Source organism: Homo sapiens, chromosome 4 (assembly GCF_000001405.40).
Source record: "Homo sapiens chromosome 4, GRCh38.p14 Primary Assembly".
NCBI classification, from domain to species: domain Eukaryota; kingdom Metazoa; phylum Chordata; class Mammalia; order Primates; family Hominidae; genus Homo; species Homo sapiens.
The window spans coordinates 67484323-67510622 of record NC_000004.12 but is presented as its reverse complement, the minus strand read 5'-3'; the positions used below and the strand labels follow the sequence as shown (position 1 = coordinate 67510622).

Below are 26300 nucleotides of genomic sequence, written 5' to 3'. Positions count from 1 at the left end.
ATTTAAGGCAGTCAGTCACAGGATTGTATCAGTTCGGGCTCTGTACTTGCACAGACCTGAAAATGAGTACCTTCTTGAATTTTCCAGCTGAGGCTACTCTTGCTTCACCATAGTCCTGCCCCTGTCATTAGGCATTGGGAATATACATAGATAAAATACCAATCAATTACTTGAGGTCAAGGAGTTGTTAGTCTGCTGGAGGAGAGAAGTAGAGATAAGTAAACAGTCGTATGTGTGATAGCAAGCTACCTAAGACTTGGAAATTAGGGAAAGCTTCCTGAAGGATGAACTAGGAGTTAGCTAAGTGATTGAGTGGAGTAAGGAGGAAGTTATGGAATGTTTTAAGTAGAAGTAGCTTGTGCAGAGATCTGGAGCAGAGAGCTTGATCTTTTCTTTCTTTAATTTAGTGTGCTTTAGAATTGTCTGGGGGGCCTATTAAGGCACAGGTTACTGGGCCCTGCTCTGCAAAGTCTTTGATTCACTGGGGTCTGAGGTGAGGCATGATAATTTACATTTCAAATTCCCAGATAATGCTGATCTTGCTGGTCTAGAGACTGCCTTTGGACAACCAGTGCTTTAGAGAAACTGTAGATTGTTCATTACTGATGGCTTTTTTTGGTTTGTTTGTTTGGAGGGGGGTTTTGGGAATTGTGGTTTATGAAATAAGCAAATCTAGATGTAGATATGAATTGATGTTGAAGTATTTGGACTTCATCCTGAAGCTATAGATAATAACTAAAATACTTTAATTAAGCAGAGTTGTAATGATCCAGTTTTTGTTTTCCAAAGGTGATTCTTGCAGCAGTGTAGGGAATGGATTGAAGAAAAACAAGGCTAGGGAGGGGGAGATTAGTAAAGAGACTGTTTTAATAATCCAGATATGAAATAATGAGGACTTCTACTAATGACAGGAGGGAGAGCTTGAAAGATTTGAAAGGCATTAATAAAGTAGAATTGATGGGATTTAGGGCGTGATTGTGGATAGGAGTAGTAGTCTTGCATGACTCAAATTTCTGATTTAGATATCTGGATAGAATAGGTAGTTGTATTTTTCATTAAGATAGGAAATAAAGCAAGAGAGGCAGATATAGGGGAGAGCAGTAGATGGATATTATAGGTGTCAGCATATAGATAGTAATTAAAGCTCTGGGTAGATAAGTCCGTCAATGAAAGTATATGGAGTGAAAAGCTGAAGCTGTCACCTTGGGGAATATCAGATATTAAGGATGGCCAGAAGGGCAGTGGGCAGAGCCAGAGAGTGTTTCTTGAAGCCTGTGACAGATTTGAAGGGCCTGTTTCATATATCTATAAACTGAAGAGCTACATTGTTTAAAGAATTTAATTTGGAAATAAATTTAGCCTGAGATGTGTGTGTGTGTGTGTGTGTGTGTGTGTGTGTGTGTGTGTGTGTGTGTATGTGTATATGTTTATATGCAAATATAAATGCTGTTGGTATTTCAGTGAGCCAAATCATCTGGACAAACTTACTAACTTTAGGTTATCATTGAATCCTTCAGGTCCTGTTTATAGCAATTCTTCAGTAAGAAATGAATTACCAATGCATCACAATAGTAGCCGAAAATCTACTAAGAAAACAAATCAGTCATCTAAGAATATTAGGAAAAAAACTATTCCACTTAAAAGGCAGAAGACAGCAACTAAAGGCAACCAAAGAGTACAGAAGTTTTTAAATGCTGAAGGTTCTGGAGGTATCGTTGGTCATGATGAAATTTCCAGATGTTCGCTGAGTGAGCCATTGGAAAGTGATGAGGCAGACTTGGCTAAGAAGAAAAATCTTGATTGTTCTAGGTAATGTCTGTTATGTGTACAATATAGTTACTTTTGTTGTTCAGCATTTAATAATTTGTGCTATTTAGTCATTTATGGACAGGCAGTAATTAGCATGAAGAGCTCTGCACTCTGACATACCTGGTATTAAATCCAGCCTCTACCATTAGCTGGATGACACACAGGCAAAGTAGTACTCTGCACTTGTTTCCTCATATTAAAATAGGGAATAGTACATAGCACCTGGAATTATGACTGTTAAATTTAATAAGATATTATTGTCATCCAAGAGTTAAACTTTTTTTTTTTTTTTTTTTTTTTAAGAGACAGAGTCTTCCTCTGTTTCCCAGGCTGGAGTGCAGTGGCGTGATCATAGCCCACTGTAACCTCAAACTTCTGGGTCAGATAATCCTTCTGCCTTAGCTTCCTGAGTAGCTAGGACTACAGGTGTGGACCACCACACCTGGCTAATTTTTTAATTTGTTGGAGAAATGAGGTCTTGCTTTGTTGCCTAGGCTTGTCTTGAACGCCTGGTGTGAAGTGATTCTCCTGCCTTGGGCTCCCAAAGTAGAGATTCAAAAAACAAACAGACAAAAAACACATAACATAAAATTTACTGTCTTAATCTTTTTTAAGTGTATAGTTCAAATTGTTTCCTTTTAAGTGAGATTAATGTGATTTCAATAGTTAGGAATATAGCTTAATACTTTTCTTCTTAGGATGATAATAGTTAACATTTTTTGAGTTCATACTATGTGCCAAATATTTGCTAGATACTTTTAATGAATTCTTATTAGTTCCAACAACCTATTGAGGTAATACATACTTTGTGTTGGAATCAGTAAGGTGCTGAGGATATACTGAAATAAATGACAGTGTGTCCTAAAATATATTAGCGTATATCATTATAGTGCATAAAGAAATCCCATACCCATTCTGTTTCACTTTTTCAGGCCATTCTCTGCTTTTCTCTCTCTTTTATTTTATTGTGTTGCTGGAATTTGCTAGTATTTTGTTGAGGGGTTCTGATCGGTAGCTTGCTTTGCTTCTGTTGTCTTTGTTTAGTTTTGGTATCAGGGTAATACTGGCTTTATACAATGAGTTGGGAAGTATTATCTCTCTATTTTTTGAAACGGTTTGTGAATAATTTGTCGTAATTCTCTTTGAATGTTTGGTAAAAGCAGTGAAGCCACCTGTGCCTGAGCTTTTCTATATGGGTAGTTTGTTTTTGATTACTGATTCATGGTATTTTGAGACTGTTTCCTCTTGAATCAATTTTGATAATTTGTGTCTTTCTAGGAGTTTGTCCATTTCATCTAGGTTATTTAATTTGTTGGCATACAGTTGTTCCTAGTATTCTCTTGTAATCACTTTTATTTCTTTTGACTTTAATGGTAGGACCCAGGAGGATACTAGAACCTGAAGAATTATACAGTCACTAGGAAGAGTGTATCTTGTTTGCATATATTTGGAGTAAACTAACTACCAAAGAGATGAGCTCAGTCCCTCTGAGGACCCTATTGCCCCTCAGTAGGCTGACTAGGGATATCAAAGAAGCCAATTTTAGTTGTTTATGGATTCTCCAGTAAACCATGATAGATTAACTGTAATATATATCAAGCTGCTTATAGATAAGGTCTCCTTATGTCCCTTTCACCACCTTCCTTGGCAGGTGTCTTCTCCATTTCTCTCATCAGAATTTTTCAAATTGGGACTCTTGGTAGGTCCTAGAAACCAGTTTCCTTCCTTAGCTAGTTGCAAGTCTCAGAACCTGAACAGGGTGATCTGATATTCGTTATAGCCAATATTACATTGTCTTTGTACCCACCTGTGTATCGTTTCTGGAAGAAAATTTTATTTTGAAGAAGTATAAACACTCATACATTTATCATTTTTATAGATCTACAAGAAGCTCAAAGAATGAAGATAACATTATGACTGCACAGAATGTTCCCCTAAAGCCTCAGACCAGTGGATATACATGTAATATACCAACAGAGTCAAACTTGGATTCTGGAGAGCATAAGACTTCAGTTTTAGAGGAAAGGTATGCGTGTATTGTAAGGATAATAGTTGTATATATTAGTTACCCATTGCTGTATAACAGATTACCCAAGAACTTTATTTTAATTTTGTTAAAAGCTTAAAAACACTTATTGTTTCATAGTTTCTATGGCTCAGCAATCTGGGAGGCTTAGCTAGCTAGTTTTGGCTCGGATATTCTCAGGAGGTAGCAGTCATCTTTCTGGTTTTAACCCTTTAAAGTCTTGTCTGGAACTGGAGAATCCACCTATAAAATGTCTCACATCGCTGTTGGCTGGAGACCCCAGTTCCGTTCTGGCTGTTTCCAGTAGACCTTAGTTTCTTAACCATGTGGCCCTCTCAGCTGCTGAATATGGCAACTGGCTTCCCACAAAGCAAATGCTCCAAGAGAAGGTGTGACTATGATGGATATCACAGTGTCTTTTAATGACTTAGTCTTTGACATTGTACACCGTCATTTCTACTTTATTCTGTTCATTAGAAACAACTTATTGAGTCCACACTACATTCAGGGAGAGGTGGAATTAGGCTCCACCTATTGAAAGGTGGTGTATTAAAGAATTTGGACATATAATGTTAAAATGACCACATTTAGTGATCAAATTGAATTACCTACTCTTAATTATATCTGATGTCATATAACCTTTTAAAAAATGAATAAAGGGTAAATTTTAGCAAATTCTCAGACTTTTAAGGGATGGCTAAGATTTCTTTACTATTTGTGAGGTTATGACTAGGCTTATCCTGGGTTCATAATAGGTAGAAAGAGATTTAGGACTAGGAGAGGCTGAATCATCTCTGACAATTTCTGGACCACATTTTAAATTCCATTGGTTTTTGGCTATATTTTTTTTTAATTAAAATATGATGATTTCTTTCTTTTTTTATAATTTGATTTTCACCACAGGATGTTATCATTTGAATTTACTAAGTCTGTTACTCTGATCTGTAAGTCATAAATTCAGTACTTATGATGCTCAACTGTCAGTTATGGGATGAAATTGTAGTCTTTGTTTAATGCAGCAAGTACAGTCAGCCCTCCATATCTGTGGGTTCTGCATCCACTGATTCAACCCCCATGGATTGAAAATATTCAGAAAATAAAATATAAAACAATAAAAAGTAACAATATGACATTTAAAATAATACAAATAAAAATACAGTATAACAACTATTTACATAGCATTTACATTGTATTAGGTATTATCAGTAACCTAGATATGATTTAAAGTATACAGGAGGATATGTGAAAGTCACATGCAAATACTGCACCATTATATATAAGGGACTTGAGCATCCTTGGATTTTGGTATCCACAGTGGATCCTGGAATCAATCCCCCACAAATACTGAGGGATGACTATATATTTTTGATGACTTGTAACATCACTATTGGTTTTATAAGAAAGACTTATGGCAGTTTTAGGAGAAAAATGATCATTAAGGCAAATACATTAGATATATGTATTATAAAAGCATTAATTTTGTGGTTTCCTTTTTTTCTTAAGTGGACCTTCCAGGCTCAATAATAATTATTTAATGTCTGGAAAGAATGATGTGGATGATGAGGAAGTTCATGGAAGTTCAGGTAAACTATTGTTTTTTTTCTGTCTTGATTTTTATGGCATTATGAATATGGAGTAAGGAGTGCTATGTTTTGTTTACATTGTCACTGATGGCGAGTGTATATTGAGTACCTACCTCTTAAGACCCTTAGTTAGAGATTAATAAGACCCTGTACCTAAGTGAGACAGAAAGAAAATGAGTGACAGTTTTTTAAGTAGAACATAATGAAATATTGGCACTTAAGGTGTCTACTCCAGTATTTAAAATTGTTAAGCTAATAAGGGTATACATGAAGCAGATTAGTGATCTGTTGATGATTACTGAAGCTGGTTGATGGTTGTATTGGGTTCATTATACTATTTTCTCTATTTTCAATACTTGAAAATTTCCTTTTTTTTTTTGTTTGAGACGGAGTCTCGCTCTGTCTCCCAGGCTGGAGTGCAGTGGTGCAATCTCAGCTCACTGCATCCTCCACCTCCTGGGTTCAGGCAATTCTCCTGCCTTAGACTCCTGAGTAGCTGGGATTACAGGCACCTGCCACCACGCCTGGCTAATTTTTTTGTCTTTTTAGTAGAGATGGGGTTTCACCATCTTGGCCAGGCTGGTCTTAAACTCCTGACCTTGTGATCCACCTGCCTCAGCCTCTCAAAGTGCTGGGATTACAGGTGTGAGCCACCACTCCCGGCCTTCAGTACTTGAAAATTTTCATACTGAAGTTTAAAGATGCCTCTTAATAGAGAATTTTATAATTTTTTCATGCTCCTAAAAATGCGTGCTTGATTGTAATCTGTTATACTTTTTTTTCTAATAATCACTATTCTTTTAACTTTTTAATTTTTCCCCCGTCATTAGATTTATTGTATTTTCTCTTTTAACTTGAATGCTTTCTGTGTTTTTCTGCTTTTTCTTTGGTAAAGAAGCAGCATTCAATTTCCCTCAGTATAGTTTTGGCTTAATTTGATAGATTTTGCTATGTAGTGTTATTGTAGTATACTCTAAATTGTAGTGATTTTTCTTTGACCCAGCAGTTATTTAAGAGTACATTAGTTAAGAGCTTGGTCTCCAGGGTCATGGACCTGGGATTGGTTCTAGCTCTACTACTTACTAGCTACGTTCTTTTTTTTTTTTTTTTTTGCCCCATTCACCACTGATCGGGAAGCATCACTATATTATCTTGAGTAAGAAATTTCAGTGTTCTTAAACTTCAGTTTCCTTATCTGTAAAATGATATCAGCTCCAATCCCATAAGCTGATATAAAGATGAATACATATTCTTTGCTTAGTTTAATATCAGGTGTATGTTAAATAGCCAATTTTTGCTGTTATTCTAAGAAGTTGTGTTTTATTTTGTTCTTTTAGTATTTTCTGGTTTCATTTTATTGTTCTAGAAAACTTAGTCTATTTTATTTATTGTTTGAATTCAGTAAGTTTTTTTTGTGTTCTAGTGTCTAGTGTATGCTTAGTTTTTATAATTTTTCCATTGGTGCTTGAAAAAGGGAATAATTTGTATACAGATATGGATTTAAAGATATATATCCAGTTATTTTGTTGATAACATAAGTGGATATATTTTTTTGAATATACTTTTAATATTTATGGAATTCTTAAATATGAAAAATTATGGAATATTTACTTATTATTTTAAGGGTAGGGGTGTGTCAGTGAACAAAACTGACAAAAATTTCTGCCCTCCAGCTTAATTTCTGGAAGGGGCAGGATGGCAGACAATATAAAAAGATAACAAATTTATGATTTGTTGGGTGTTGAGAGTAGAGAAATAAAGCATGGCTTTTAGGGTGGGAAATGAAGTTTACATTTTTAGGTAGATGGGCAGAGAAGTCCTCACTAAGGAAGTGATCATTTGAGCAAAGATTTGAAGAGATGAGACAGCAAACCGTGCAGCTGTCTGGGTAAATAGTGTACCAGGTAGAGGGAAGATGAAGGGCAAAAGTTCTTATGTGGTCAAGAGTCTGTCTTGATCGAGGAACACCAAGAAGGCCAGAGGGTTAGAGCAGAGGAAGAGAGCGAACGAGTAGTAGGAAAAATGATGTCACAGAGGCAACAGAATGAAAGATCACATAGGATGTTAAAGGCAAAATTTTACTAAGAGCGATGGGAAGCCATTAGAGGGTTTTGAGCAGAAGAGAGACATGACTTGACCTGTATTAACAGAATCACTGCAGCTCCTGTGTTAGGAGTTGACTGATGGGGTTGAAGGGATGGAGGAAGGTTGGAAGCAAGGAGACTAGCTGGAGAGATGTTGAAATAATCCTAGTGAGAGGTGTTGGCTTAGACCAATGTGGTAGCAGTAGAAAGTGGAAAGCAGGAGGAGGATTTTTAGGTATTTTTGAGGGTAAAGTCAACAGGATTTTCTGATGGACGATACGTGGTGTATAAGAAAAAGAGAGGCGTTAGAGAGAACTTGAAGGTTTTTGGCCCGAGCTCCTGGAAGAATGGCAATATTACTACCTGATCTGGGGACTACTGGGGAAGAAGCAGATTTTGAGGAAAAGAACAGGATGTTAGATTTGGACATACTAAGCTTGATGTTCTCAACCTATGTATTCTTTTTATTTGAGATCTATTAAGGACTGCTAGAGTTGAAGTAAAGTGTTCCCACTGCAACTGTCTTTGCCCTTGTATTTTCTGTAGTCTTTGTTATGTACATTTCAGTGCTGTTACTGATCACATAAGCCTTCATATGGAGTGTACCTGCTTTGGTCAAATTTATCTGCTTCGTTGTGTTAAATGCTTTTTACTTTGTAGTTTGTTTTGTCTAATATTAGTATTGTGACTTCTGCTTTCTTTTGGTTGGTTGTTGTTTCTTTATCTTTTTATTTAACTTTTATTAGAGAATTAAAAGTGGCTAAGAAACAGCATATGATTGAATTGTTTTTGACTCGCTGTGTCAGTACTTTTTCCTTTAATAAATTGTTTAATATATATACACTTATTGTCAACAGATATACTTGTTACTTCTTTGTAAAGTTGGTAGACATTCTCACATATTCTAGCAAGGACTCAGGATTTTTTTTTTCTTTTTAAACACAATGAACCACCAGCTAAATAGAGAACATAATCTTGAGTCATGATCTTTTTTTCTTTAAACTATCACCGTATTGCTATTTTGCTTCATGAGAGTTAATGCTTATGAATAGAAATTTGAAGGCAGCCTTATTTCTTCTTTCCTTTGTAGATAACCTGTTTTCTTCCATCTCCATACTTACTAGGATCCTTTAATCTTTGAAATTTAGGAGTTGTCCCTTGTGTTAGTCACTTAAAAAATAATTTATTTTGAAATAATTTCAGTCTTATACAGAGATCCCATATCCCCTTCATCAAGATTTCACAATTGTCCACATTTTACAACATTTTTCCATCTCCCTCCCTGCCTCCTCTAATAAATACACGTCTATTATCATACATCTTTTTTCTGAACTATTTGAGAGGGAATTGTAGACATGATATATTATTTCCCTTAAATGCCCCATAATGTATTTCAGCAAGACAAGGATATAACTACCCTCGAACCATACAAATAAGGAAATCAGCATTAATACAACACAGGTTCATTCACAGACTCCATTCAGATTTCACTAGCAGTTCCTTTTCCCTTCTAGCTCAGGATCCAGTCCTGGATCTCAGAGTTTCTTCTTCCTCCTGGTTCAAGATCCAGTCCTGGATCGTCGACTGCATTTAGCTGCCATGTCCCTTAGTTTCCTTCAACATGGAACAGTTTCTTAGTTTTTTTCCTAACTTAACTCATGATCAAATGTGTGCCATTCATATTTGACAGGAATACTACAGAAATGATGCTATAGGGTTAGGAGTTAGGGGATGTAATTTGTGCATCACACAGGAGGCACACAACGTTCACCCATCTACATGATGCTTTTGTTTTTTGTTTGTTTGTTTGTTTGAGATGGAGTCTTGCTCTCTCACCCAGGCTGGAGTGCAGTTGTGTGATCTCAGCTCATTGTAACCTCCACCTCCCAGGTTCAAGCAATTCTCATGCCTCAGCCTCCTGAGTAGCTGTGATTACAGGCACATGCTACCATGCTGGGCTAATTTTTGTATTTTTAGTAGAGACAGGCTTTCACCTTGTTGGCCAGGCTGGTCTCAAACTCTGGACCTCAAGTGATCTGCACACCTCAGTCTCCCAAAGCGCTGGGATTACAGGTGTGAGCCACCATGCCCTGCTGACATGATATCAATCCTGATTACCTGTTCATGTTATTGTCTGCCAGGTTTCTCTACTGTAAAGACACTGCTTTTCTCTTATAATTGATAAATATTATTGTGGAGTGATATTCTGATACTCTTAATAGCCTGTTTCTTGTCAAACCTCCATTCACCAACCTTAACATACATTCAAGACTCCCACTTGAATTATCAGCCACTAATGATGGTACCACATTATTTTCTATTTTCTGTTTCTTTAATTCCTTCCGCATTAATTAGTTGCCAGTTTTTCTCCCGCATGCCAATTATTTTATTCATGATTCTTTTTATTTATATCAGTATGGACTACTACTATTTTATGCCATGGGGTTGTAAAATCTTGACCATTTATTATGATACTTGAATTGTGATAGATTTGGTCACTGGATTTTCTTTCAGCTGGTCTCTGTGTGCTTTTGTCATGATTCTGTGAATACTGTCTTTGTTTTTTGGCATAAGATGTTCCAGTCTTTTTCCTGCCCCAGCTCTGGGATCAATTACTGCTCCAGGAAACCTGGTTCTTTTTAGTGGAAGATGGCATTTAGAAACCAAGATTTGGGCACTTGACGTGATCCTTGTTTGGGATACCATTGCTTCTAGTCTTTCTCAGTGTACAGAGATAGGAAATAGATATATATATACACACACACATACACATATGTACACACCATATACAATACAGGCATCTATATCTATTTCTATATTTATATTTATACAGGCATACCTTGTTTTATTGTGCTTTGTGTCACTGCATTTTGGAGATACTGCATTTTTCACAAATTGAAGGTTTGTGGCAACCCTTTGTTGAGTAAGCCTTATTGGCACCATTTTTTTTTTCAATAGCATGTGCTCACCTTGTGTCTCTGTGTCACATTTTGGTAATTTTCACAGTATATCAAACTTTTTCATTACTATGTCTTTTATGGTGATTTGTGATCAGGTGATCTTTGACATTACTATTGTAATTGTTTTGGGGCACCGCAAACCACAGCTACTTAAGAAAGTGAAAATTCATGTGCTCTGACTGCTCTGCTGACTGGCCAGTTCCCCATCTTTCTCCCTCTCTTCAGGCTTCCCTATTTCCTGAGACACAATATTGAAATTAGGCCAATAATAACCCTACGATGGCTTCTAAGTGTTCAAGTAAAAGAAAGAGTCACACATTTTTCACTTTAAATCAAAAGCTAGAAATGATTAAGCTTAGTGAGGAAGGCATGTCAGAAACCGAGATAGTCCAGAAGCTAGGCCTCGGGCACCAAACAGCCAATTTGTGAATGCAAAGGAAAAGTTCTTGAAGGAAAAGAAAAGTGCTACTACAGTGAACACATGAATGATAAGAAAGGGAAACTGCCTTACTGCTGATATAGAGGTTTCAGTGGTCTGGACAGAGGATTAAACAAGCCACAGCATTCCTTTAAGCCAAAGCCTAATCCAGAGGAAGGCCCTAACTCTCTTTAATTCTGTGGAGGCTGAGAGGTGAGGAAGCAGCAGAAGAAAAGTTTGAAGCTAGCAGAGGCTGGTTCATGAGGTTTAAGGAAAGAAGCTGTTTCCATAACATAAAAGAGCAAGGTGAAGCAGCAAGGTCTGATGTTGCAGCAAGTTATCCAGAAAATCTAGCTGAGATAATTGAAGGTGTCTTTACTAAACAACAGATTTTCCCTGTAGACAAAATAGCCTTCTATTGAAAGAAGATGTCATCTAGGACGTTCATAGCTGAGGAGAAGTCAATGCATGACTTCAAAGCTTCCAAGGTCAGGCTGTGACTCTCTTGTTAAGGGCTAATACAGCTGGTGACTTTAAGTTGAAGCTAGTGCTCATTTACCATTCCAGAAATCCTAGAGTCCTTAAGAATTATGCTAAATCTACTTTGCTCTATTAGTAGAACAACAAAGCCTGGGTGACAGCACATCCATGGCAATGCACCAGGCCACCCAGCAGCTCTAATGGACAAAGATGAGGAGATTAATGTTGCTTTCATGCCTACTAAGAGAGCATTCATTCTGCAGCTCATGCATGGATCAAGGAATAATTTGGACTTTTAAGTCTTATTATTTAAGAAATAAATTTTGTAAGGCAGTAGCTGCCACAAGTAGTGATTCCTCTGATGGGACTGGACAAAGTAAATAAACCTTCTGGAAAGGATTCACCATTCTAGATGCCATTAAAACTATTTGTGTTTCATGGGAGGAGGTCAAAATATCAATATTAACAGGAGCTTGGAAGAAGTTGATTCCAACCCTTATGGGTGATTTTGAAGGGTTCAAGACTTCAATGGAGGAAGTAACTGGATGTGGTGGAAATAGCCAGGGAACTAGAATTAGAAGTGGAGTCTGGAGATGAAACTGAATTGCTGCAATTTCATGACAAAATTTGAACAGATGAGGAGTTGCTTCTTATGGAAGAACGAAGGAACTGATTTCTTGAGTTGGAATCTACTCCTGGTGAATATGTTGTGAACCCTTGAAATGACAAAAAAGGATTTAGGATATTCCATGAACTTAGTTGGTAAAGCAGCGACAGAGTTTGAGAGGATTGATTGCGGTTTTGAAAGAAGTTCTGCTGTGAGTAAAATGCTATACAACAGCATTTTATATTCTCCAGGGAAACTTCATTGTTGACTTATTTTAAGAAACTGCCACAGACACCCCAGCCTGATCAGTCAGCAGTCATCAACAATAAGGCAAAATACCCTATCAGCAAAAAGATTAAAACTCACTGAAAGCTCAGATGATAAGCATTTTTATATTTTATTATTTTTATTTTTTGAGAATGAGACAGAGGCTTGCTCTAATACCCAGGCTGGAGTGCAGTGGTGTGATCTCGGCTCACTGAAACCTTTTACCTCCTGGGTTCAAGCGATTCTCTTGCCGCAGCCACCAAGAGTAGCTGGGATTACAAAGTGTACACCACCACACCCAGCTAATTTTTTTAATTTTTAGTAGAGATGGGGTTTCGCCATGTTGGTCGGGCTTGTCTCAAACTCCTGGCCTCAAGTGATCCACCCTCCTGGGCCTCCCAAAGTCTTGGGATTACAGGCATGAGCCACTATGCCTGGCTGATCTTTAGCATTTTTAGCAATAAAATATTTTTAAATTAAGGTATATGTACACTGATTTTTTTAGACATAATGCTCTTGCACATTTAATAGACTATAGTATAGTATAGACATAACTTTTGGCTGGGTATGGTGGCTCACTTTGGGAGCCACCCAACACTTTGGGAGGCGAGGCCGGTCACTTGAGCCCAGGAGTTTGTGACCAGCCTGGCCAGCATGCCAGAAACCTGTTTCTACAAAAAATACAAAAATTAGCTGAGCGTGGTGGTGTGCATCTCTGGTTCCGGCTACTCGGCGGGCTGAGGCGGGAGGATCATTTGCTGCCAGGAAGTTGAGGCCACAGTGAGTCTTGATCCCACCACTGCACTGCAGCCTGGGTGACAGAGTGAGACTTAGTCTCAAAAAACCAAAACAAAACAGCAAAAGAAATAACTTTTATATTCACCAGGAAACTAAAAAACTGTTTGACTTCTTTATTGCAGTATCTGTTTTACTGCAGTAGTCTGGAACTGAACTGGCAATATCTCTGAGGTATGCCTGTATTTTTATTTATTTATTTTTAAATTTTTTTTTAAGACGGAGTGTCCCTCTGTCGCCCAGAGTGGAGTGCAATGGTGTGATCTCGGCTCACTGCAACCTCCGCCTTCTGGGTTCAAGCGATTCTCCTGCCTCAACCTCCTGAGTAGCTGAGATTACAGGCGTGTGCCACCATGCCCGGCTAATTTTTGTGTTTTTAGTAGAGATGGGGTTTCACCATGTTGGTAAGGCTGGTCTCGAACTCCTGACCTCCTGATCTACCTGCCTCAGCCTCCCAAAGTGCTGGGATTACAGTTGTGAGCCACTGCGCCTGGCCGCCTGTATTTATTACAAGTTCTTCTCAAATAGTGAGAAACCTGACTCCCATTATCCTCAGTATATTTACTTGTTTCTTTGGTTCCTTGTATCACTCTGACACTGCCTCCGAGGCCCAGTGTCACAGGAGAATTTCCAACAGAGATGAGACCTCTACTTGTTCTAGGGGAGACTGCATAGGAAATTGAATTTTTGGGGGTGGGGGTGGGGGTGGGGTGGGGGGTACACAGATTTATTAAGCTAGACTTCACATACCATATAATTAATCCACTTAGAGTGTACAAATCAATGATATGTAGTCATTGACACAATCGATGTTAGAACCTTTTCATAACCCCCAAAAAGAAACCCCTTTACCCTTTAGTAGCCGACTTTCATTTCCTTTCCCTGGGCCTACCCAATTACTAATCTACTTCTGATGTCTAGAGATTTGCCTGTTTCTGACAGGGAAATTAGATGTTATGATCACTGAAGTTTCTTCCAAACCAGCAATTTTATAAAATATCTAATTCAATCATTCTTAACAATTTTTGTTTGTTTGCTTTCATGGACTCATTTGAGAATATGATAAAAGCTCAGACCTGCTTTTTAGGGAAAAAAGGTATATATTTCATACAAAATTGTATTTGCAGTTTTAGGTGGTTCATGGACATTGTGTCCCAGTTGTATATTGCTGCGTAACCAACCACCCCAAAACTTAAAGGCTTAATACAGTGATTGATTTATCTTTCATGGTTCTATGAATTGACTTGGCTTAGTTGGGTAATTGCCACTTGAGTACACTCATGAATTTATATAGTTAAATGCAAGCTGCTGGGGCTGGAGTCATCTGAAAGTTCAAATGGGTTGGACATTCGAGGTAACTTCCTCACTTACATGTTTGGACCCAGCTGGAAGAACTGGGACATTGAGGTTGGCCAAGCATCTCTTTTCCTCCATGTGGCTTTTCCATGTGGCCACATGAGGTTTCCTCACAGCATGGCAGTCTTGTGTTAATCTTCATATTGTTGCTGTCTTCCCCTAGAGTGAGATCCCAAGACTTCTAGATGGAACCTGTAGATTGTATTAGGACTTAGCCTTTTAAGCCCCAGAACATCATTTCTGTTGCATACTATTAGTTAAGCAAGTCACTAACTCCAGCAGAGATTGAAGGAGAAGGGAACGAGACTCTGCTTCTTGATACAGAACATTTGTGCATAGAAAGGCAAAGAAGGGATGACAGCCATCTTTAGGTGCTAGTTACCAAAGTTGAGAACCCCTGAGCTTATTGGCACACTGCTAAATTCAGTACACTTACACTATTTTAGAACTTTAAAGAGAAAGTTACAGATAGTTCATAAATAGCATATTAATTATCCATTATCAGGCCCTACATTTTTATCCACAAGTGGCTTATTTCATCTTTCCATGAGCAATAGAAAATCTGTTGTTTTTTTTGTTTGTTTGTTTGTTTTAACTGTTACACTGTTTAGAATAAAAACCAGGGGTGTCCAAGGGAGCGAATACAGTCATGAGTTCTTAGTTTCTGTTTCTGGTTGGTCCAATAAAACCCCTTCCTCATCCCTCTTTTCCACTTGTCGCCAGAGACAGAAACTAAAAAGCATGGTTTCAGGCTGCTAAAGGTCTAAAACAAAACAAAACAGAACAACCACAAAATAAGGTGGATTGGACAAACTTGCAATGTATTCATTGTAGCAAAGTCTAGAGAAATAGTTCTTTTCCTTAGTTTTTATAGTTGAGCAATGAAAAGCAAAAGGAGTAATAAAATACATTATCAGGTCAAACTTTATTTAAAATACTCATACTGAAATTGACCAGGAAACACATTTTAATTTAACATGGAATTAGCAGTCATTTCTTATGATATTATCTTTTGCATTTTGTAGATGACTCAAAACAATCTAAAGTGATACCAAAGAACAGAATCCATCACAAACTAGGTAAGAATATTTTTCTTTTTTAATATTTTCATTGAGAAAAATACCTTAAGTTTCTGTTTCTAAATATAACTTATTTCTTCTTAAGCAGGAGAAATACGATTATGTGGATTAATTGGCAGATAAATTAAAATTATGCACTTAGTTTTTATGAATTTCATAGTAAGTCACCACAAGCCACTTGAATTAGTCTATTGTCCATTTATAAATCCTATTGCCCTCTCACTTTTTGCCCCATAGTAGGGGGCATGATCCTCCCTTAGCTATGAAGCTAGGGTGGAGAATTTTGTCAAAGAAACTGTAACTACCAGGTAGATGGCTTCCTTGACAGCATCTCCTTCCACTTTAATCCAGTTGACTCCTAAACAAAGCAGTAGCTAGGATAGTAAGTAGACAAAGCTAAGAACTGTGGAACCCATGGAGAGGCCCATGTAAAGATTAACAATCCATGGTTCCCAAAGAGATATTTGCCAGTCAAGATACATGATAGTTCCCACCTTTCTGTGATGTTGGGTGGCTTTCCATGTTTCTCCCTTTATTTGAGGCTGTGAGTGCTCTTTCACTCATACTCAGATTACCAATAGGAGTGAAGCTTTCTCTCATTGCCTTACTCCAGAACTTAGATATTGTCAGTATTTTGTGGGCCTATGTGATGAGAGACTGCTATACCTCTCAATACTTAATGCTTGTCTTGGGGTGAAATGATGAATCAGGAGTAGGGAAAGGGAAATAAAAATGTTCCTGAGCAGGGCTTCAGTATTTACAGAGGGGAACATTGAGCATTATGCCTAAGAGCAGTAGGCAACTTCTCGTTAGCTTCAGCATAGCTTTAGCAAACAAAAAATAGGTAAGAACATGGGAATTTGAAGATAAGCCAACAAACTCAATTTAGTATACAGAACTTTGCATTGTTCAGATAAGATGAGTGTACATTTAACATTGTCAACGCTGAGTATTATTAGGTTTTTAAATATTTGCCAATTTGGTAGCCTGTTTTTCCATTGGCTTTTCTTTAATTGTTAGCATAAATATTTGTTTTTTCTAGTCTTTTGTCTAGAAAAATATTCATGTTCTAAAAAATAAAGCTTTCATGTTCTAAAAGACAGTCTTTCCACTGCTAAGTACCATCAACTAAAAACTATGTATACACTTTTGTCTGACATCTTTTTATAGTATTGCCCTCCAACACACCAAATGTTCGCAGGACCAAGAGAACACGTTTGAAACCTTTGGAGTACTGGCGAGGAGAGCGAATAGATTATCAAGGAAGGCCATCAGGTAAAACTTATTTATGTTATAATATCTGTCAATAAAAAATTTGTTTACTATGTGCCAGACACTGCACTACATGTTTATATACATTACCTTACTTAATCATCACCCCCCCAAATTTTGATAATAGGATTTAAATTCATTTTTGTCTGATTAATGTAGAGATGCTGATATTTTCTCTTTGGTAGCTGAATGTTGTTATTCCTGTATCATCTGACAAGATTTCCAATTGCATAATATAAAGCGTTAGATTAGAACGTGAGAAAATTGTAACTGGTAAAGGTAAAGTAGTTTTCATTATTTTTCCTATTAACCATTTTCCATTTTCTCATAGTTTTCTACAAAGTAGTGTAGGGTGGGCAAGAAAGTGTAGTGTTAATCGTAGAGTTATTTTCTTTCTTATTTTTGTAGAGATGAGGCCTTGCTATGTTGTCCAGGCTGGTCTCATCTTATGGGCTCAAGCAGTCCTCCCGCTTTGGCATCTCAAAGTGCTGAGATTACAGGTGTGAGCCACTGTGCCTGGCCATATTTCTTTCTTTGATGGATATATCTAAGTCAAAGGACTAAACTCATGTGGATTTCTATAAATAGTTCATTGCTAGCCCCCTCCTTTTTTTTTTTTTTTTAAAAGCCTCCACTGATGACTGTTGATTTCAGGGGAGCAATAGGACCATCTAATCATGTTTCATCATCTAATCCTGTTTTATCAGCCTCTGATTTAGGGTGGTAGAGATATAATGAAATTGGTTGGTATTTGTGTTATTTTAACTATTAGCTGCAGACATATATTCTTTGGTACTTTGAAAGGAAATGTGCCATATTAAATTTAAGGAGTTTTGTTTCAAGATTTTGTCTTTCCCATGTATATTTTACTTTTTTTGTTAAATTTCAGGAGGATTCGTGATTAGTGGAGTACTATCTCCAGACACAATATCGTCTAAAAGGAAGGCAAAAGAAAATATTGGAAAAGTCAACAAAAAATCTAATAAGAAAAGGATCTGTCTTGATAACGATGAAAGAAGTATGAACTTATTTCTGAAAGTAACTTTTAGATTTTATTTTAAATAGGAGTACTTTGAGAAGAAGCTCTTTGCAAAATATGAAATTTACTTCCAAAAACTTCAGAAATAATACCATAGGTAAAATTCATTTTTTAATGTCTACTTTCTTCCAAATGGAAAGTAAGCTAATTTTATTCTTAAAAAATTATTAATAGCATATTATAAATTTCTTCATGAGTAAATTTCCCAGTCAAATGAAACCCACCATTCCTATGCCCAAGCTATGGTTAACATAGACATTTCTAAAGTGTTTTATATACCTCTATCTCACTTAGAGATTATGCAAAACATCACTTAATACCTTGATAATGCAAGAGTTTACATGTTAAGGCTTACAGAAAATAGGAAGTTTAGGGTGTTTGCTTTTATATTAAATCATTATGGGTTTTTAAGTTTGAATTTTTGTTTATCAGAGTGATTTATAAATAGGAAGAGACTTCTTTGCGTTTGACAGTTTTATAACTTCTCTATAGCTATATTTTGTACTGAACTTTTTGGGATTGAGAATAATTTTAAGTAAGTAGTTTGTATTTCAATGGTATTTCTTTTGCAGAGACTAACTTAATGGTAAATCTAGGTATACCTCTTGGAGATCCTTTGCAGCCAACGAGGGTAAAGGACCCAGAAACAAGAGAGATTATTCTCATGGGTAAGATCAGGCATGATACTGAAAATACTTAATTAAACAATTTGTAAGAAAATATTGCTTGCTTGATGATTGGCCTGTCTACTTTCCCTTTCTCTCCCCAATTCTATCAGTGCTAAAGTCCAGAAGAGTCTAATTCCAACGAGCAACCTATGTGAAGACAACTGTGGGGGAATATTGATATCAGACAGCTCCAGGGGACACTTAACACCCCGGACTTGTCCTCTGGGGCACAAGTAGTGCTACAATCAGGAATGTCGTCTCCCCCAACAGGGTCTAGGCCTTCTTTGACCAGGAGGACACATGGGAACAGAGGCTGTTTATGGGGAATTGTAGATAGATAGTTGGCAGACTCAAGGATACGCTTATCATGAAGCCAGGCAGGGATTGTGGGTAGGGCACAGACAAACTTCTGGGCCTACAGATGGCAGTAATGTTACCTGGGATATGAATCCTTTGTGAGGATGACTAGCAAGGGCATCAATCAGTTGTACAGATGCCAGGTTTAACCTTAAAGCTGGTGCTGCAAAGTCCTGGAAGCCTCCTGCTGTATTGGATTAAATATTTAGTCTCTAGCAGGTCATGTAAGATCCCCAAGGGATGGGCTATAGTGGGATAGGAGTTTATGGATTACGCAACTGTTTAACAACCAGGCTCTCTCTCTCTCTCTCTCTCTCTCTCTCTCTCTCTCTCTCTCTCTCTATATATATATATATATATATATATATATATATATGAAATATTTAAATATATTAACAACTGTTATGACTGTACCATTGAGTACTAAGGGCTGTTTGTCCTATATCAGAGGAGAAGTAGGTCAAATCAGAAACGCGGTAATGGTAGCTGGGCGTGGTGGTGGGTGCTTGTAGTCCCAGCTGCTTGGGAGGCTGGGACAGGAGAATTGCTTGAGTCTGGGAGGTGGAGATTGCAGTGAGCCGAGATCATGCCACTGCACTTCAGCCTGGGTGTGCAGAGCCAGACCCTGTCTCAATAATAATAATAATAAAACTAGTTAGTTAATTCCTAAAAAAAGAAAGGTAGTAATAATGGTACTCCTACTTAAAATTTTGGCCATGAAAATAGATTTCATTTAATATCTTAACACCTTAGCAAAGGTATCTCTATATGCAGATTATTTATTTGGTAACAGAGCTTAGAAGTATGGAGTTTTGTTTAGTGTCTTAACTGAAAGCATTGCTGTACTCTACCAGGTTATTGTGAGTGTTGTCAAAAGTTCATTTCTTATTTGTTTCTTGAATCTACTATATATATATTTCTATATATATATTTCTATATATTTCTATATATATATATATATATATATATATATATATATATATATTTATTTCTATATCATGTAGTCTGTAGGATCACTAACATTCCCAAATATCCTGGGAAACAGAATCAGACATTGATGACAGAATAATTTATTAATTATAGATCTGGAAAAGTTTGTTAAGTAATGGAAATTTTTGTAAGTGAGGTAGTAATTTATGAACAACCATTAGAACTCTGCTTTCTCACAAACTTTACCTAATAAAAATTATTAGTCAAGCAGGAAAAAAAATCTATTGGCATGGTGATGATACATTTGTGGTTTATGTTAAACTTTAAAAATAGAGAATTCTTTTTTTTATCTCAGCTAATTCTATTTTCTGTCTCAGTTCCTATAATACTGCCATTTTGTTATTCAGCTGGTGCTAACAGTGCGTACTTTTTGCCAGACAATATTTTAAATAGTTTACACACATTAACTCGTTGATATTCACAGCAGCTCATTAATATCGAATAGATGAACTTATTATTATTTAATTTTATCGAAAAGGAAATTGAGGCACAGTGAGAGAGAGCTTAAGTAACTTGCCTAAGGTCATGCAGCTTTTAAGACAGAGACAGGATTTGACCTCTGGCATTCTAGCTCCAGAGTTAATGCTCTGAAACAACTCTCTAAGGCAGATTTATATCCAGAAATGACTCTTTATTATATATATGTGTATATGTTATATCATTAACCAATACTGCTGTTGTTTTATATTTGTATTACTGTTTTACTCCTAGATCTTGTAAGGCCACAAGATACATATCAATTTTTTGTTAAGCATGGTGAGTTGAAGGTATACAAGACATTGGATACACCCTTTTTTTCTACTGGGAAATTGATATTAGGACCACAAGAAGAAAAGGGAAAGCAGCATGTTGGCCAGGATATATTGGTGAGTACTTTTTTTATATATTTATGTTTCACTCTTGGTAGAACTCTGATTTATTGGATTTGATGAGACATTAAAATGCTGTTTTCTCAGAAATGAAATTCGATTACTACACCACACAGAGAAAGGTTTTTATTTGTTAAATCTGTTTAGAGTCAACCAGCCAACAGTTATTTGACAATATCTGTTCTCTGCATAGCACTGTATTTTGAGATTCAGAAATTTAAGGAATGTTCTTTACTTAAAAACATCTTAAATATAGGTTTGCAAACAAATCATTAGAATTTTAGTGCTGGGGGGGATTATAGAGATTAAATCTAATTCCACATTTCTATGATAATGCAGTAGAGAAATAGGTTAAAAGACTTCTTCAAAAATCACTTACATCCCAGTTACCCTGATTTGATCATTATGCATTGCATACAGGTATTAAAATGTGACATGTACCATGTAAAATTTTTATATATCAATAAAACAGTAACCTGAGAAAAAAGTAAATAAAATGAGTGAGATTATAAAAAAACTACTTAACTATTTAGACATAGACTCAGGACTAAGCTAGTTGCTTCAGTAAGTGCTAAATAATATACTATTATATGTAACAATATTACTGGCTGAAGTTGTAATGAGATTCAAGGTGAGTCAGTTTCTATCTTCTCCTTCTTTCTCTTTATCTCCTTTCTTCCACCCCCACCCCCATTTAGAGACATACACCTCTGCAACATTGGTCTGTTTTATATGTGTGTATGTGTGTGTGTGTGTGTGTGTGTGTATGTATAACAGGAATATTTTATATATATAAAAAATATTTGTAGTCTGAGTTTGAAAATTGTAGAATATAGAATTTGAAAAGCACCAAATTTTAAGAATATTTAACATTATACCAGCAGTTAAAAAATATAGCTAAGGAACATCTTTCAGTATCTGACATTTCAGGAGTCTGAAATTGTGCTACTAAAGTATCACAGTCAGAATGATTCTCTTTGCCAACAAACTTAAAGTAAATTCAAAAAGGAGGGAAAAATTGTGAAGACTCTTGAGTTTATATTAACAAAGAAGGGCAAATTTAGGCAAGGCAAGGAAAAGATACATATGAAAGTCAAAGATTATTACTACATCAGTATAGTTAGAATCATGATTTAAAATAATTTAACAATATTCATTAATTCAAACTGAAAATGTTATAGGCCTCCAGTTATTATTATGAGTGAAAATAACACATTTTAAAAGCATAGATGGTCCCTGTATAATAATAAAGTAACTAATAATGAGGATAAACATGAATTATCATCACTGAAGTAATAGCAGTTACCTATTAAACTGTAATGCCTTTATTATACAAAAGGAAATTTGAGTAACAGATGTTTAAAAGTGTGTAATCTGGCTAATATTCAAAGGAATACACATTTAAATCCAAATGACACTTTATAGTTACTGAGTTAATGGAAATTATTAGAAAAGTATTCATACCCTGTAACCTGTGACTCATTTCTAGAAATTTTTCCCAGGGAAGTAATTTGGAAGTTCAGAGTGAGGGGTGCTGAACATATGTAGTTATTTATTGAATCATTGATGGTAATTGCAGAATTAGAAACCACTACAATGTGCTACAGGAAGAAAATGGTTATATTTTAATTTTGACTTAGTAATGGGATAAACCATTCTGTGATATAATAAACAGTTATACAGAACTTATGTGTTCCAGGTACTGCACTAAGCACATTAAAATTAGTTTGAGCATTTTATTTTGAAGAACAGCCATATATGAAGACCCTTGGGATAAATGTTTAAGCAAATATGCAAGATAAAAGTTCTTTGTATATAGTATCTATTTTTCTAACTAGAATTTAAAAATGTAAATAAAATCTTGAAGAGAATACATGTTTTACTCTGTGATTATGTAGTTATTTTAGTTGATTTTATTTCTTCTATATATTACCTTTAACTTTTTATAATGAAAATAAATGAAAATTAAAGCTGAAGTTTTTTTTAATAAGACTCGTATTTTTACATTTTAAAACATGAAGCACACTTACAAATATATGCTTTTGAAAAAGATAATAAACAGGACAAGATGGAGAACCAGCATAGGCCATTAACTCTCTTTCAAACACTGCTAGAGAATATTTAAAAGAGAAGAGTAGTAGGTTTATTAAAATCAAACTACAGAAGAATTTACATATTAATTATGAGAGCTGGTTGTAGAACTTCCCAGGAGACAAGAAGGAAATTAAAAAGTAGAAAATATTAAAGTTAAATAATGTAGAGAAGAGAGAAAAGCATGCCTAAATACAAATAATAAGAATTTCAGGAGAGAGAAAAAACCCAATGAAAAATGGTTGAGAATATTTTTAAAATTAGACAAATGTTTCAGAGCTAAAAAAACAAAAAGGTGACAGCAACCTACTTAAAAGAACCAGTTCCTTGGAGGAATGCCTGATTCTAGGCCTGAAACTGAGCTTGGAATCGATAGCAAACTACTAATCAGAAACCATTAAGATTGGGTCATGTTTCAGGTTCCAACTTGAAGATGCTACCACTGGCTGGCTAAGGATATGAAACTTGAGTATTAACAAGAATAACTTCAGTAGATTGATATGTATCAATTATATCTAAATCCATGAATTTCTAAGACTACTACTACTACTACTACAACAAAAATTTGTTACTGTTGGAGGATTCTAGGAAGCCAACTCACTTTAACAACTGATTCTGCCTTTTCTATATAAACTGTGCTATTAGGTAATCAAATAATAGATGAGTTTGTTCTTATTAGAATAATATTCCAGCTAATGAGTGAAGAAGGAATGTTGGAGTTAAAATACTACCATTTGCAATCCCTGATAAGCTATTGGGATCTAGGCATCAAGGCTCAGTGGCTGACAGATAACTAAAAAGAATACAACCAAGCATTATGTGCCTCCTGATAGAAAAATACAACACTATCCAAGAAGTAGTCTTGCCAACCCCATGCCTTAAAAAAGAAAAAAAAAAAAAAAAACCTAAAAGCAAATACAAAACCTGAATCTGATCAAGTCTCTAGATTTAACTACCAGTTTACAAGAAATAAAGTGTGGTGAAATCTTTCAAATGATACCTGGGGATGTAGTCAGCAAAATCCACCTGCATGAAGATTTTTATGACAAACTGCTTAATGTTTTCAATAAATTAAATGTAAGAAATAAAAAAGAACCAGGTGAAACCTAGGGAATCAGGGTTTCTCAACCATGGCACTAGTAACATTTTTGATTAGATACTTCTTTGTTGTAGTGGGGGCCGTCCTGTAGGTAAGGCCCTGTAAGTAGAAGCTTACCTGGCCTCTACTCATTAGATTCCAGTAGCACCACTGTAGTTGTGACAAAATCAAATATGTCTTCAGAAATTGTCCGTTGTCCCTGAGAGGCAAAATCACCTTGATTGAGAACCGCTAATATTGATTGAGAAATTTAAGAAACAGATCAACCAATCACTGTATGTGGTGCTAACCTGGATCCTGATTCAAAGAAATCCTTGAAGATATGTTTAACTGATGATTGGAAATTTGACTATTAACTAGATATTTGGTATTAAATATTTATTTTTTAGGTGTGATAACAGTATTGCGGTTATGTTTTTTAGAAGCACTTGATCTTTCAGTACATACTGAAATATTTGCAGATGAATTATGATACTGGGCATTTATTTTGAAATAAGATGGAGTGAGGATAGTAGACTCTGGCTTGGGCAGGTGGTTAGCATTAAGTATTCATGAGAGTTCATCATTCTATTTTTGTATGTTTCAAAAGCTTTCTTAATTAAATGTTTACAGAAATGAGGAGAGGTGTGCTTAGAGAACCAAATTGAATAGATGAGAAAAAAACACTAGAAATATATACTTTTTAGTATTACTTTTTTGTCTTTTTGATTAAGGCAAATTATTTTTGGATGTAATAACTTTTTTTGTCTTATTAAGTTATAAAAATACCTTTGAAACATTTCGGGGGGCTTTTTTCCCCATTTAGGGAGGCAGTATATCACAGTGATTAGGGAATGAATTCTGTAATCTAAATGCCTGAGTTCAAACTCCCCCCCTTTGCCATTTACATTGTGACCTTGGAAAATTACTTAACCTCTCTGTGCCTCAGTTTCTTCATCCATAAAAAGCTACTAAAGTAGTCGCTGTCTCATTAGTGGGCATATACATTAAGTGAATAAGAATAAAGTTCTCATAATACTGCTTGGTATAGAGTAAGTGCTATATAAGTGCTAGCTGTTATTGTTATTCTGGTATATTATGATCATTGTACAAAGTAGTAATAAAAAATAAGGAGGAGAAATAATTATCTGAGGCAAAACATTCTTGATGGATGTCTTAGTCAGATTGGGCTGCTATAATAAGAATACCATAGACTTTGATCTGTGTCTCTTATAAGGGCACTAGTCCCATTCCTGAAGGCTCTGCACTCAGGACCTAATTACGTCCCAAATTCCCCACCTCCTGATCCCATCACATTGGGGGGGTTAAGATTCCAGAGTGTGAATTTTCAGGAGACAAACTAATTTCTAACAATGGCTGAATCTCAAAGTTTGAAGGCCTTATGCTGTTTATTTTAGTTGCTCAAAAAACCAGGTCACTGCCAGTGTGTGCTACCTATGTATAAAGTATGAAATTTGGCATGTTTGAATATGAAAGCCAGCATGATTGAGAGATTTATCCTCTTTTACTTTCTTAGTCTTGATGCTTGTTTAACATATGATTTTGAGGGGAATAGGGATTTAGCTTTTTGCTTTCTTTGATTCTTCAATCAGATTGAGTAGTTTGTTGTCCTAAGCATGTGACCTTTAAAGAGGCATACATAAAGCCTAGGTATTTTTTTAGTGTAGGTGATAATCTTTTTGAGTTGGAGTCTCGCTCTGTCACCCAGGCTGGAGTGCAGTGGCGTGACCTCAGCTCACTGCAAGCTCCACCTCCCAGGTTCACGCCATTCTCCTGCCTCAGCCTCCCGAGTAACTGGGACTATAGGTGCCCGCCACCACGCCTGGCTAATTTTTTGTATTTTTCATAGAGATGGGGTTTCACTGTGTTAGCCAGGATGGTCTCGATCTCCTGACCTCGTGATCCGCCCACCTAGGCCTCCCAAAGTGCTGGGATTACAGGCGTGAGCCACTGCGCCCAGTGCGGTGATAATCTTTATAGTGTAGGTGATAATCTTTACAGTGGCTGTAGAATTTTCATAAGCCAGTAAGTAATAAGGAAAAACAAAATAAGGAAAAATAAAAGAAATCTCTTCCTGTATTACAATGGTCCCCATCCTTTTTGGCACCAAGGACTGGTTTGTGAAAGACAATTTTTCTTCCACAAAAATTGGTGGTGGCAGTGGGAGTTGGCATTAGATTTTCATAAGGAGCACACAACCTAGATTTCTCACATGCACATTTCACAATAGGGTTCATGTGCCTGAGAGAATCTAATGCTGCTGCTGATCTAACAGGAGGCAGAGCTCAGGCAGTAACACTCACTGGCGTGCTGCTTACCTCCTGCTGTGTGAGCCCATTCCTAACAGGCCACTGCCAGTAGCGGTCCCTGTCCTGGGGGTTGGGGACATCTGTATTAGTTTTCAGTTGCTGCTCTAACAAATTACAGCTATGTGTTACTGAGAAATGAGTC

The 26300-nt window shown here is 36.3% G+C and overlaps 1 protein-coding gene across 5 annotated transcripts in view; it reads left to right on the top strand.

Annotated features, from left to right (window-relative positions):
- CENPC (centromere protein C) overlaps positions 1–26300 on the top strand; it is a 76742-nt gene that overhangs the window by 34881 nt on the left and 15561 nt on the right. For 2 of the 5 annotated variants that reach the window (XM_047449526.1, NM_001812.4), the window contains exons 10-17: positions 1518–1809; positions 3689–3835; positions 5339–5418; positions 15411–15464; positions 16635–16739; positions 17626–17754; positions 18348–18443; positions 20502–20656. In XM_047449526.1, the coding sequence (XP_047305482.1) occupies positions 1518–1809; positions 3689–3835; positions 5339–5418; positions 15411–15464; positions 16635–16739; positions 17626–17754; positions 18348–18443; positions 20502–20656 (1058 nt within the window). Of the gene's footprint in view, positions 1–1517; positions 1810–3688; positions 3836–5338; positions 5419–15410; positions 15465–16634; positions 16740–16921; positions 17873–18347; positions 18444–20501; positions 20657–26300 lie in introns of those variants that run through there. The other 3 variants (NR_155754.2, NM_001362481.2, XM_011531542.4) reach the window with 3 other exon arrangements.